Source organism: Homo sapiens, chromosome 6 (genome assembly GCF_000001405.40).
Source record: "Homo sapiens chromosome 6, GRCh38.p14 Primary Assembly".
NCBI classification, from domain to species: Eukaryota; Metazoa; Chordata; class Mammalia; order Primates; family Hominidae; genus Homo; species Homo sapiens.
Genome location: NC_000006.12, coordinates 43,985,610 through 43,999,591, shown reverse-complemented (window position 1 = coordinate 43,999,591; position 13,982 = coordinate 43,985,610). Strand labels below are relative to the sequence as shown.

The following is a 13,982-nucleotide window of genomic DNA, read 5'->3' as shown; positions in this document are numbered from 1 at the left end:
ATCTGTAAAATGGGAATAATGAGAACACCATTTAAACTTGGTTGTCAAATTTATTTTATTTTTATTTATTTATTTATTTTTAGAGACACGGTCTGACTTTGTTACCCCGGCTGGAGTGCAGTGGTGCAATCATGGCTCACTGCAGCCTTAACCTCCTGGGCTCAAGTGATCCTCTCGCCAAGGCTAGGATAAGTAGCTAGGACTACAGATGCGCCCCATCACGCCCAGCTAATTTTACAACTTCTGTAGAGATGGAGTGTTGCTGGGTTGCCCAGGCTGGTCTTGAATTCCTGGGCTCAAGCGATCCTCCTGTGTCCGGAATTGGTGGGTTCTTGGTCTCACTGACTTCAAGAATGAAGCCGCGGACCCTCGCGGTGAGTGTTACAGTTCTTAAAGACAGCGTGTCCAGAGTTTGTTCCTTCTGATGTTCAGATGTGTTCAGAGTTTCTTCCTTCTGGTGGGTTCGTGGTCTCGCTGGCTTAGGGGTGAAGCTGCAGACCTTCGCGGTGAGTGTTACAGTTCTTAGGGCGGCGCGTCTGGAGTTGTCTGTTCCTCCCGGTGGGCTCGTAGTCTCGCTGGCTTCAGGAGTGAAGCTGCAGACCTTCGCGGTGAGTGTTACAGCTCATAAAGGCAGCGTGGACCTACAGAGTGAGCAGTAGCAAGATTTATTGCAAAGAGCAAAAGAACAAAGCTTCCACAGCGTGGAAAGGGATCCCAGCGGGTTGCCACTGCGGGCTGGGGCAGCCTGCTTTTATTCTCTTATCTGGCCCCACCCACATCCTGCTGATTGGTAGAGCCCAGTGGTCTGTTTTGACAGGGTGCTGATTGGTGCGTTTACAATCCGAGCTAGACACAAAGGTTCACCATGTCCCCACTAGATTAGCTAGATACAGAGTGTTGACACAAAGGTTCTCCAAGTCCCCACCAGAGTAGCTAGATACAGTGTCGATTGGTGCATTCACAGTGCTGATTGGTGTGTTTACAAACCTTGAGCTAGATACAGAGTGCCAATTGGTGTATTTACAATCCCTGAGCTAGACATAAAGGTTCTCCACGTCCCCACCAGACTCAGGAGCCCAGCTGGCTACACCCAGTGGATCCTGCACCAGGGCTGCAGGTGGAGCTGCCTGCCAGTCCGGCGCTGTGCGCCCGCACTCCTCAGCCCTTGGGTGGTGGATGGGACTGGGCGCCATGGAGCAGGGGGTGGCGCTCGTCGGGGAGGCTCTGGCCGCACAGGAGCCCACGGAGCCAGGAGGAGTCTCAGGCATGGCAGGCTGCAGGTCCCGAGCCCTGCCCCGCGGGAAGGCAGCTAAGGCCCGGGGAGAAATTGAGCACAGCAGCTGCTGGCCCAGGTGCTAAGCCCCTCACTGCCCAGGGCCGGTGGGGCCTGGCGGGCTGCTCCGAGTGCGGGGTCTGCCGAGCCCACGCCCACCCGGAACTTGCGCTGGCCCGCAAGCACCGCGCGCAGCCCCGGTTCCCGCCCGCCCCTCTCCCTCCACACTTCCTCGCAAGCTGAGGGAGCCGGCTCCGGCCTTGGCCAGCCCAGAAAGGGGCTTCCACAGTGCAGCGGCGGGCTGAAGGGCTCCTCAAGTGTGGCCAAAGTGGGAGCCCAGGCAGAGGAGGCGCCGAGAGTGAGCGAGGGCTGTGAGGACTGCCAGCACCCTGTCACCTCTCACTCCCCCAAAATACTGGGCTTATAGGCAAAAGCCACCACACCTGGCCTGATTGTGAAATTTAAATGAGATAACCCGGCTCAGAGCAGGCCCTGAGTTGACATTACTATGAGGAGACCTTCCCAATATCCTGTCGCTTGATGGTGGGCTTGCCTAAGAGAGCTGCCCTAGGGAGATAAGAAGCCCTCATTCTGGACCTTACCTGACTGCTACATGCTCCCCCCGTTTTTCTTTGATTTCTGGGGTCCAGCCCCAGCCAAGGTGCAAGATACAAGTTGAGAGGCATGGCAGGGCATAGGGATGGGTGATTGGGTGCTACTTTGGACTAGGCTGGGGGTGGGTCTAGGGAAGGACTGGCTACCTGCCCCGCCCCTACCTGGCTGGCACAACAGGTAACTGAGTGCTGACTTTTATTCCTGGGAAGGGAGGAGTCAGGCAGTGCCTCTCTGTCCAGGCAAATGGGATGCAAGGGTCAGGAGCATGGGTGGAGAGGGTTTCTAGGAATATTCCTGAAAGAAGACCTGGGAACAGGCACTGCTGTCAGGAGCTACTGCCTGGGCCTACCAGCCTGTATCCCAGCTCAACAAACATCCTTGTCCTTGTTTCTCAGAGTCTGTATCCACCAGCTACTCTTCCAGATTCATGAGGCAAGGCCTGCCTGCTCACCTGGCTGGCCCCAAGCACCTCTTCAACCTGTTGCCACCGTCCTGCCTTGCTGCCCTTCTCAGCTCATCCAGCAGGGTCTCCAAGTCGTGGAAACAGAAGCACATATACACACATGCTCATATGTACATGCCCACAGTCACATAAGCACACCGAGAAACACCATCGCAGACATGTTCTCACAAGCACATGTGCATAACACTCACTACCCCTCACGCGTATACACATTAATACACACACTCATGCACACTCAGTCTTACACACACAGACACACAGCCATAATCACTGTTGTTGGTTGAATTGTGCCCCCCCATCCCCACCAAAAAGATAAGTTGGAGTCCTAACCCCCAGTACCTGGGGATGTGACCGTAGTTGGAAATAGGGTGTTTGTAGATGTAATCAAATTAAGATGAGATCTTACTGGATTAGAGTGGGCCTTAAATCCAGTGACTGGTGTCCTTATAAGGAGAAAAAGATTTGAAAACAGAGACATGGAGACACAGAGCAGAAGGCCATGTGATGATGGAGTCAGAGATTGGAGTGATGCAGCTATGAGCCGAGAAATACCAAGGTGCTGGCAGCCCCCAGAAGCAAGGAGAGAGGCAAGGAACAATCTCCATCAGAGCCTCTGGAAGAAACAGACTCTGCCAACACCTTGATTTCAGACTTTTGGCCTCCTTCACTGTGCGAGAATACGTTTCTGTTGTTTTAAACTACTGAGTCACCAAGTCTGTGGTACTGTGTTATGGCAGCCCCGGCAACAAATCCAATCACACACACACACACACACACACACACACACACACACACACACACACACACAGCTGGCTCCAGGCTCAGTGATGAGCTCAGAGGAGTTCCCCTTGGGAGCTGCTCTTTCTCTGTCTTCCTTCCTTAGTGATTGGTCCAGTGGATCCACAAAAGCTCATGGCCCAGAGCAGGAGCCCAGTCATTTTTAATTCCTCTTCCCTGGAGTTCTTAACCATGCGTTGCCCTCAAAATCTGCTCTCAAGATTTGGGTTGCCATATTTAGGAGCACCAGAAAACATACAGGAATGCTGTGTCTGCTTGCATCATATTAATTAAAAACTGGAAATAACCTAAATGTCCCAGAATAGGTACATAAACTGTGGCATATCCACTTAATGGAATACTACTCAGCAATACAAAAGGAAAACCTAGTGTTACTTGAGCAACATGGATGAACTTCACAGACATAATATTGCACAGCACGAGGCAGACACAAAAGTGTGCATATGCTATGATTCCATTTACATGAGATTCAAGAACAGGCAAAGCAGATCTATGGGGATAGAAGTCAGAATAGTGGTTACCTCTGGAAGGTGGAATTGACTGGGAGGGGCTTCAGGGAACCTCCTGGGGTGCTGAAAACATTCTGTGCTTGCACCGGGTGGTGGTTATGTGGGCATTACATAAAATTCACCAAGCTGCACCCTTAATGATTTGTACAATTTGATGCACAAATCTAACATCTCAAGAAGAATAAATTTTACAAAGTACCTAAGAAGCAAATGACCAGAAGCCACCGGACTGTTTTCTGGGGGCATTTATAGCTAGAGTCTGGGCCCTCTAGGCCCTCTGTCCCAGGGACAGAAAGCCTTGGTCCCTGGGACAGCCATGTGTGGTATCATCGTACAGTGCATGTGGGAAGGAATTCCACTCTTCAGTTGTGACAGGGCTGGACACACACACACATGTATACCTCTTGGCAGCTTCCCATCCTCATTCACAGTTGCAGGTTTGAGAGGGTATATCCCCCAGGTACCCTGAAGCCAGTCTCTGAAGCTGTCGAGGGTCCCCCAAGTCAACAGACAAGTGGTGGGGGGCAGGTAGCTAGTGAGAGGAAGGGGGAGCCTTCCTCCCCGCTTCATCCATAGCTGTGGAGTGAACTGGCCTGGGGTGGGTGGCTGCAGGGCTTGCCTTGACCCCTGCTGCACTGGTGTCCTCAGGCCTGGGGCCTCTTGTATGGCTGACTTTCCATAATATTTGTTGACTATAAATGTCCAGCCTGGGGCTGCCTGGGAAGGCCAGGTGTGTCAAGACAGCCAGACCATCACGACATTAGTCTTTGGGAGAGGACTGGGAGGTACACAAGATCCCACTGCAACTGGCTTCTCCAAAGAAAGACTAAATGCGATGATTTCTTCCACAAGAAAACTCCAAATGAAAAAGAATAGCTACATTTTACTCAGGTTTTGTGATCTGACTGGCATGAACCAAACATCTTTGAGGTGTGTGGCCATGTTGCCATTACACAGACAAGAAAACAGAGGCTCTGAGATATTGAGTAAAACCCCCAGGGTTACACAAGAAACTCAAGAGAGGACAAGTAGCATGATAGTTCCTTCCGACTGGGGGTCCCTGAGGACAGGGCTGCATCTCCCCTCAGACTGGGGCTCCCTGAGTAAGGGCTGTGTCTCCCCTCAGTCTGAGCCCTATCTAGGAGGGGCTTAGAGGAGGAGCTGACTTTGAACCTGCCTTCTTTTGCATCCACACTGGTCTCCTGGAGAGTCTTGGAGGGGCTGCTGACCTGGCTACCCCTGCTCTTTCTCACCCTGGCTGTCACCCCTAGTTCTAGCCTAGGGCTCTGCCTACAGGAATGCCATAGTGTGGGGCCATGGTTCTGACCAAGAGGGAAGTGGGGGAGGGTATGCACCAGAGGAAGCTGTCCCTTGGTGGCCATGCTAAGATCAGTGGGATGTCCCTGCAGCTTCCCTCCCTTCCTGACCAGGTCCACTGGGGGTCAGGACCACCCAGCTGATCCATGCCAGAGCCACACTGAGCAGAGGGCTGGCTGGACCCTGCCCTTCCCAGGAGGATCAGCTGGGAGAAGGGCTCCATTTGTGGAGGGGGCAGAGTGGAGTGCGGCCTCCTGCAATGTCCAGGAGTAGGTGCTCCTCACTCTGCCCATGACTCGCCAGCAAGAGCTGATCATGTGATGGGGGCCAGGTGGCAGGTGTAATAGGAGACAACATCCTCCTCGGCCTGCCCTGTGACTATATTAAGTTTTGTGCCCTGGCATTCCCCTGCCCCTGCCCCCAGGACTTTCCCTCCTCCCTCAAGGGATCCTACACTGCAGATAAAGGAGCCATCCCTCCTTCCCAGCCCCACTGTCTGAGGAAAGGAGCAGGGGCCTAATGAGGTCAGAGCCCACGGGTGGGGGAGCAAATGCAGTAAATTTAGCCTTTGGATGCTAATGAGCTGCAGAGGGAAGTGCCTGGGAGGGCCTTGGCAACCCTCAGACTCAGTCCTCCTCCCACAGCCGCCCACACATCACCTAGGTGCTCACAAGGGCACATGAAGAATACACTCACCAGCAGCTGAGACACAGGTTTACACTCTTAATTTTTATTTTTTAGAGACAGGGTCTCACTCTGTCACCCAGGATGGAGTGCAGTGGCACAATCTTAGTTCACTGTAGGCTTGACCTTCTGGACTCAAGTGATCCTCCGGCCTCAGCCTCCTGAGTGGCTGAGAACACAGTCATGTGTCATCATGCCTGGCTAATTTAACAATTTTTTTTTTTTTTTTTTGTAGAGAAGGGAGTCTTACTATGTTGCCCAGGCTGGTCTTGAACTCCTGAACTCAAGAGATCCTCCTGCTTTGACCACCCAAAGTGCTGGGATTACAGCTGTGAGCCACCACACCTAGCGTAGGTTTACATTCTTACAGGCCAATCCATATATACCCATACACCCAGGAGCCCCCAGGAGTCTATTATTACCGTGATAACCTGATAACCTTGTTCAGGAACTCATGTGTACACACCTCGCTATGCGTACAGTCATTCATGCATGCTTGCACACCCATGTGCTCACATGCATGCCACCCACTCCTGTTGGCATTTCTCCTAAGCCCCTGAGTCTATGGCAGAAGCATGTCATCTGGGAGCTGCAGGGCATTTGCACCCCATTAAAGGGCTCAATCCCTGTCCCCCCTCAATGGAACTCACCACCCCAGGAGCCCCAGGAAGCCCTGCCTTTTCCCCAGGGTGAGGGCAGGGGGCAGACACAGGGTTTATTAATAAACTTGTTCTTGACTGGAAAGGCCTATGCAGAAGCCCCAATCTCAAGCCAATCAGAGCAGAACTTTCCAGGAATGTCACCCAGAGCAAGCCTTCCTCTGACTCCAAGATTATTTCTCACCCCTGACTTCATCCCCTTGGTGTGTGTGGCTCCTGCCAGGCTCCACTGGCTCTGCCCGGCAGGCCTGCTGTCACCTGGCAGCTGGCATCTACCTTGGCCACTGCCCAGAGAAGGTCACACAGCACATGGGTGGTGGGGCCAGGATTAGAACTGCATTTGCTCTCACTCAGTCTTGCTCCACCCCACTCCTCCAAACAGAGCACAGCTGAGCCTGCTGTGTTGGGAGTGCAGAATGCCCTCGCCTTGATACCCACCCATGGCATCATGACACTGCCCTCCCTCTGAGTGGGGAGGAAGCTGAGAGCCACTGGCCCTGAAGGCAGAGAGCCTGAGCCAATCGGGTTTCTGCTACTTACTGGCCTTGTGACCTTGCACAAGCAGGATTTGACTTGCTTGTGGTTCAGTGTCATCGTTTGTAAAATGAGGATACCACCTGAAGGTAGCTGTGAGGATTAAGAATGTGTGAGGCTGGTGTCTGCTGCAAAGGATTGTACAGGTTGGTAAAGTAAAAGGTGTCTTTGTTCTTGCCTTTATTGCTAATTCCATTCCCATCTTCATCACCAACACCACCTAACACCTCCACTGTCACACCATCATCGCTACTTCCTCCAGCACTGACATAGCTACCATTGCCACCAGCACCATCAGACCACTCCCTCCTCTGTTGCTACTTCCATCACAACCACCATGTTGCTATCACCAATCATCCAATAACAGTTACTCAACACCTACTATGTTCAGGTCACGTGGGTGACTCTTTGTGGATAATCCTGCCCCAGGCCCCCACACTGTTGGGCATGGTCTATATCTCTCACATCCTTTAAGCCCTGCCACACATCCCATCTCCACCAGGAACCCTTCCCTAATCCACCCTGCACTACTCACGTTACTCCCAGACACCGTGGCTCAGCTTCACCTGTCCCTCACTATTTGCTGTGTGTGTGTGCCTCTGTGCACAACCATGCTATTTAAACTACTCTGCGAAGTCAGTCATCACCCAGATCTCCTACACACAGCACAGTGGCTCTGGGTTCCAATCGTGGCTCTGATACCTGACCTTGGACAAGTCACCATACCTCTTTGTGCCTCAGTCTTCTCAGCTGTAAACAGGACTGAATAATATCATGTCTTACAGAGTTGTAGTGAGGATTCCGTGAGATATTGTATTTACTATATAGCACTTAGACTAGAAGCATGCATACAGCAAGTGCTCAATAAACATTAGCTTTTGTTATTTTTATTATTATTATTATTAGTCTCTCCCCCCGCCCCCGCCGCCCCCGACCCCACCAATTTTTGGCACAGGAGTTTACACTACCAATGAGAAAGAATTCACAGGAATGAATGCACTCTGGCTTTCCAATAGAAATATCTTAGGGAAGGGTGGAGCTTTTGGAAAACCGTCTTGTCTCCCTGCCTGCTCATCTGAGCTCTCTGGGTAAGAGGTGGGCTGTGGGTGGGAAGGACCATGCAGGGAAGTTAGAGCCAGACAGAGCTGAGTTTGAATGGCGACTTCACCAGCTGAGTAACCGTGGGCAAGTCACTGAACCACTTTGAGCCTCAGTTTCTCATCTGTAAAGTGGATCTCTGTGCAGGGTCACTATGAGGCAGTCATCTCTGCTGGCTTCTCACTGATTTTGAACGCAAGCACCGCAGACAGCTATGGTGGAACTCAGGACCGGCATACCCTTTGGGCCTCAACCTTCCCATGCACACAATGGACAATCCCAGCAGAATTTGCTTTTCAGAGCCAGTGGGGAAGATGCTGAGAGATCAGAAGTGCTCAGAAAATGAAAACATCCTGGAAAAGTTCCAGAGACAGCATGAATAATGATTAACCCAAGCCAGGCCCAGCTTGGCCTGACCTCAGAAAATCCACGAAAGCTTGAGCTGGGTTCCTGGGGCAGGGCTGAGGGCCAAGGGGAAGGACGGCCAGGGGGCCCCCCAACCACAGACTCAGGGAGGCCACTCTGTACTCAGACTCCCACGTGCATCACGGCATCTTCATTGGAACAGGGAGGGCAGCTGGGACGTGGTAGGAGGGAGTGGCCTGTGAGGCCTACAAGCTTTCCTGGGGTTCTTAGTACGTTGACATCCACACAGCTGCAGCCACCCAAGGATTCCCTCCACCCTCCTCCTATGGTGGCGCCCTGTCCATGAACCCCCAGGGAATAAACAGGGGTAAACAGGGGCAGCAGCCGGCCGACTGCTGTGTACTCACGGCCCACACAATGTAAACTCTCAGGATGTATTTATGTTGTCTGGGCCTGGCCAGGGTCCTCTGCCCAGCTCAGAGGAGTCACGTGTGCAAGGCATCTGGATTCCTCTGTGTGGTGGGTGGGGGAGGGCAGGAAAGGCAGAGAGTTCATGGGGGACAGGGATCAGAGATAGCTGGAGCTGGTGGCCCATGGAAGAAGGCAAGAGCTGCAGGAATGGCGAAGGGGAAAGAGGGGGTGAGCGCTACCGTGCAGTGCTCAGACTGTGTCCTGTTCCTAGAACTGCAGGCCCTTTAGAAGGAGTTGGGCAAGTGGTGGGCAGCTTTCAGTGGCCCCGGAGACTGGATTCACATTTCCGTGCTGCCCTGATTAGGAAGCAAGGCTCATCTCTACTTTCCTACCTCCTCCAGCCTGGGCAGGACTGCCAACCTGGCCCTGCCCACCCGACTGGGAGGGACAGGAGGAACATAACCGTGTGACGAGCATGCTGCTGGGATCTGAACACGTCTCAGGAATGACACCCAGGGAAAGCTATTTTAATCTGGAAAGTCGCCTGCTCCTCCTGCCCACCCAAAATAACTTGGCTCCCGCAGGAACCTGCAACATTGTGGCTTCCACCAGCCCTAATGGAGTGCTCCAGCCCCTGCAGCCCCCATGCCCTCACTGTGGCCAACCCCCTCCTCAGAATGGGCCTCTCCACTCAGATTTGGAGCTCTCTGATGCCAGGTCTGTGTTTTCTCCCTCAGACTGAGGGCTGCCTCAGGGCAGAGGCTGTGTCTCTCATGGATTAGAAACTCCTGGGGTATAAAGATTGCATCTCCCCACTCAGACTGGGAGCTCCTCCGAACACTCAGGTCCCTGGAGTCAGCTTCCTTGGGGAATATGGGGGTGGGGCAGGTGCCAGGTGTCCTTTCCCCCACTTCCAAGCTGTGCTACAGAGGATGCCCTTGTGGAGAAACTGGATCTCCCTCCCTCTGTGGCCACAAATGTGTCTGGCTGATGGGCTCATGTGGGGCCTAGGCTGAGCCCGGCACTGCCAGGCTGCCCTGCTGCTGACCACATGGCCCCCGACAGGAGGGTTCACATGTCCCAGCACCAGCCAGCCACCTGCTGCCTCCTGCCTCCCAAAATAAGAAAGGGCTGGCCTTCTCCCGTTACCGGCACATGCCCCACTGCCCTTGTCCTCGGGACGGGGCTTTCACTGCTCTGCTCCTTTGTGTGGGGTGTTGAGGGGGCAGCCCCTCAGCTCTGCCTGTCCCCAAAGCTGGCGACTGCACGTGGCCAGACGGAGTTGCTCTGTTCCTAGGCTGGATGCAAAATGAGGAGGGGCTCCACTAACTTCAGTGTTCCTTCTAAGGAACCAGTGTCCACTGGTCCTGTGAAGAGGGGCCCTGCACCCCAAATCCTTCCCCTTTGCCAGCACCCATCACAGCCCGTGACATGGAGTAGGGACTGAGGGTGTGGCTGTTGACCCAAGTAATTAACTACTGCTTCCTGAGGGCTGAGAAACTGAGGCTGAGAGTTTGAGAAGACACTCCTTCTAACACACACACACACACACACACACACACACACACACACACACACAGGCACAGACACCTTTTCCATTCATTTCACAAATAATGACCCTTTTCTATTATTTTAATTTTTTATCTTTTGTAGAAATGGGGTCTTGCTATGTTGCCTAGGCTGATCTCAAACTCCTGGCTTCAAGAGATCCTCCTGCCTTGGCTTCCTAAAGTGCTGGGATTACAGACATGAGCTACTTTCCCAGGCTACAAAAAACAACCATTTTTAACTGAGCACTTACTATGTCTGAGGCACTGTACTAGTGCACCCCATCCATTACTGTGTTTAAACATCACAACAGTGGTGTTTAAAGAGAATGGGGCCCAGAGAGGTTAAGTGACTTGCCTAAGGTCACACAGCAAAGAAGTCGAATTGGTATTCAAACCTAGGTTAGAACAGCATTTGTCTTTTTTTAATGAGAAATTTTAAACATTCAGACAAATGGAGAGAGCAGTACAACGAAACTACAAGTACCGATTACCAGAATAGCATAATGAACATTTTGTTTGCCAGATTTGCTTCATCTTTTCTGTGCTGAAATATTAAAAAGTAAATTATAGACATATAGCATGTCACCTCTACTCATTTAAGAATGCATCTCTAAAAAATAAACCAAATTTTCTATATAAACCAGCATGCCATTCTTACATTGAACAAAACAGTTTGCAATATCTAATATGCAGCTCATGTTCAATTCCCCCAATCGGTCCCCCAGATTTTTATCACTCTACCACACTACCATTGAGGAGTGGGCAGATGGGGTTTGGGGAGGTCTCTGCCAGTCTCTGTGCCTCAGTTTCCTGTGGGGACGCAACTCTTACCTTCTCCTCTTTTCCTTGCTGGGGCAAGGTTTCTGGACAGGAGAGTGACGGGGACCCGAGGGACCCTGTGGGGTGCTAGAAGCTGTGAGGGAGGCTCAGGGGAGCCCCTTATCTCCTGGGGTGGTGACCATGGAGTGAGGTGGATGTCCTGATGGGCCAGAGAGGGGCCATGTCCTGGCGGAAGGAACCTCAGCAGGGCTCTCATGCCTGGCCTTCCTGTCAAGGTATGGGCTGTCTCAACCCAGTGAGACCTTGAGCCTGCGACCCCCTACCTCACAGGGGACCCTCTCCACCATGGGCCCACCAGACCAAACAGCCCACCAGCCTGCCTCAGCCAAAACAGGAGCTGAGGAAGGTCAGCTTATCAGGATTCCCTTACTCCCTCACCCCATGGGCCTGCTTTTCAGCCACTATCAGTGTCTGGGGCAAGGGAAGGGGTTGACGGGACAGGGCAAGGCCATTCCCGGGGGTCACTCCTAAATGGAGAGAAATGCTATTTCGCAGGATGTTGGGAGAGTCTGGGGACCCACAGGTGACAACAAAGGGGCCTGCCAAGCAGTGGCCAGTTAGATCAGGGGTCTCTAGGCCTCCTTCCTGTCCCATGCCTGTTCTGTCCTCAGTTCATGGGGTGAGTGAAAGGACCCTGACTTAAGACAGGAGGTGGCTCAGGTGACCTCTTGGTCATCACTCCCTGAATAGGGATTGAGACGTTGAAGGTCAAGTCAGACCAGCCCTGAAGGGGCAGAGCTGAGTCTCCCCTCAGTCTGGGGCCCCATGAGAACAGGGCTGTGTCTCCCTCAGACTGAGGCTCACTGAGGATGGGTCTGTGTCTCCCCTCAGACTGGGGCTCCCTGAGGATGGGGCTGCGTCTCCCCTTGGACTGGGGATCTGTGAGGATGGGTCACATTCACCTTCCCTATCATCATTGCCCCTCAGGGCCCATTCTGCCCTGCTGGGCTGAGTGGGGAGCCCCAACTGAGGATCCCCAGTTCCTCATTGCTCCAGAACCCAGGGCAGGGCTGAGAAGAGAATGAGTTGGTTTCACCTTACTAAGAGGGGAGAGGAAATGGAACAATTTGGTGAGAGCCCACTGCTGGATGGGTTACAGAACCTGCTCCCTCTAAAGGATTTGGGCATGGAGGCAGAAGATGGAAGAGACAGCTTCCTCCTGGGCTCCCCCTTCCTTCTCTAGAACACCTCATCATCTACACTTCTTGTAAGATGCTCCTAGACACTCCTAGGCTCAGGAGCCAGGAGGTGGCTCCCAAGGGGCCCTCCACGGGCTCTTGAGCAAGCTCCTTCCCCTGCGCCCTAGTACCCAGCCTTGGACTTGCTGGGCAGAAGCAAAAGAGAGGGCTTAACCTTGAGTAGGGGCTGAGGGGAGCAGGAAGAACATGTTCCAGGGAAAACATGGAGCAAGGTTGCCAGATAAGCATGGGAGGGGGAGAGGTGGCAGGATGGGAAAAGGGTCTTCAGGAGCTCCCCCAGGCCCAAAGCTCCAAAGCCACTGACCGCTGCCCTAAACTGGACCCTAACAGGGTCTCCTTTGAGAAGGCTGCCTGACTGAGGAACTCACTCCCTTTCTTCTCCCAGGAGCCCTGAGTGTCTGTGCATCCCCTACCAGGCATCAGCCTCTCTCCCAAGAGCTCAAACACCATGCATAAGTCCTCTTGGTCCTCCCAAAGTACCTGTCAGTGGGTTTGCACACAGCAGGCACTTGATAGAGACAGTTGGCTGGAAGCTCGAAACAGAACCCTCTGATTGCAGCCTTTGCTATCCTGAGCCAAGTGCTCAGGGAGATTACCCTTTATCAGCACGTCCCTCCTCAGGAGTACCCGCAACCTGCCCTGTGCACTTCTGCTCAGCAGACCCTATCACTCTGTTCTCTTGGGTGGTTGTTCCGTGAGACAGGAGTACAGCTGGAGAGCCTAGGGGCTGAGAGCAAACGGAGCCTCAGTCTCAGAAGGGAGACATGGCCTGTCCTCAGGGATCTCCAGTCTGAGGGGAGACGCAGCCCCATCCTTAGGGAACCCCAGTCTGAGGAGAGACTTGGCCCCATCCTCAGGGAGCCCCAGTCTGAGGGGAACACACAGCCCCTTCCTCAGCATGCTCACAGTCAGTAAGGGAGAGCTATCCCTCCGCCTGCACTCACTGTCAAAGCAACATTGAGAATGGCCAGAGGAGAAGGGTTAATGGCTGAGGGCTCCCACATCAGCCCTCTCCAAGTTCCTGACACATTTCTGCCCTGTCAGGATCAGGGTGAGCTGAGTCCCTGCTCAGACTCATATAGACTTATTTTCACCTCTCAGAGCGAATATCAGGAAAGCCTGGGGTTTCTTTCACCTCTTGGAAGATTTTTTGTGGATGAACTGAGCCCCATGCCTGGCACAACTAGATGTGTCACTGGCAGCCAATTGACTCTCCGTCTTCTTTCAGCTGAGCTTACCTCAGCCATATGCCTTGATGCATCCCTGTTTTATAGATGAGGAAACTGAGACTCAGAAACTCGAGTGGATGCCCAAATGCCATAGCTACAAAATGACAGAGGTCCATTTCCGCTTGGCTTCAAATTATGCTTTCCTTCAGGCCTGAGCTCAGGAGGGGGTGGCCTCTCTGTTTTCTTGGGGTTGGAGCCCCATCTGGCCCCCCACACCTTGGCTTATACAGGGCTCATGAGTGAAGGTCCAATGGGGAGTGTGTGGATTTGCTGTGGGGTGTCTGTAGGTCTAAGTCTCAGGGCCTTTGGGGAAATGCCTTGTGGATACTTGGGGAGACCTCAGGGAGGAGTGTGGGGCAGGGTAGGGGTGAGGGAGAGAGGAAACTTTACTGGTCACCATTGTGCAGTGGGTGGGGCCTCCTGGAGCAATGAAAGAA

General features: G+C 53.0%; 2 long non-coding RNA genes across 3 annotated transcripts in view, besides 2 other annotated features; one reads left to right on the top strand and one right to left on the bottom strand.

Annotated features, from left to right (window-relative positions):
* SCIRT (stem cell inhibitory RNA transcript) overlaps positions 1 to 3,869 on the top strand; it is a 78,930-nt gene extending 75,061 nt beyond the window's left edge. For both annotated transcript variants that reach the window (NR_125864.1, NR_125865.1), the window contains 2 exons: positions 84 to 374; positions 2,284 to 3,869. This is a non-coding gene — a long non-coding RNA (stem cell inhibitory RNA transcript). The remainder of the gene's footprint in view (positions 1 to 83; positions 375 to 2,283) is intronic.
* LOC124901321 (uncharacterized) lies at positions 38 to 8,765 on the bottom strand. Its single transcript, XR_007059591.1, has 2 exons — positions 8,724 to 8,765; positions 38 to 641 (listed from the first exon to the last, which is right to left on the bottom strand). It is a non-coding gene; the product is annotated as an uncharacterized LOC124901321 (long non-coding RNA).
* Positions 5,175 to 5,675: an enhancer, noted in NCBI's record as "H3K4me1 hESC enhancer chr6:43961654-43962154 (GRCh37/hg19 assembly coordinates)". NCBI's record gives its function as "activates a minimal SCP1, AML or CMV promoter by ChIP-STARR-seq in naive H9 embryonic stem cells {active_cell/tissue: H9 hESC(naive)}" and the evidence as "EXISTENCE:reporter gene assay evidence [ECO:0000049][PMID:30033119]".
* Positions 9,127 to 9,636: an enhancer, noted in NCBI's record as "H3K27ac-H3K4me1 hESC enhancer chr6:43957693-43958202 (GRCh37/hg19 assembly coordinates)". NCBI's record gives its function as "activates a minimal SCP1, AML or CMV promoter by ChIP-STARR-seq in primed H9 embryonic stem cells {active_cell/tissue: H9 hESC(primed)}" and the evidence as "EXISTENCE:reporter gene assay evidence [ECO:0000049][PMID:30033119]".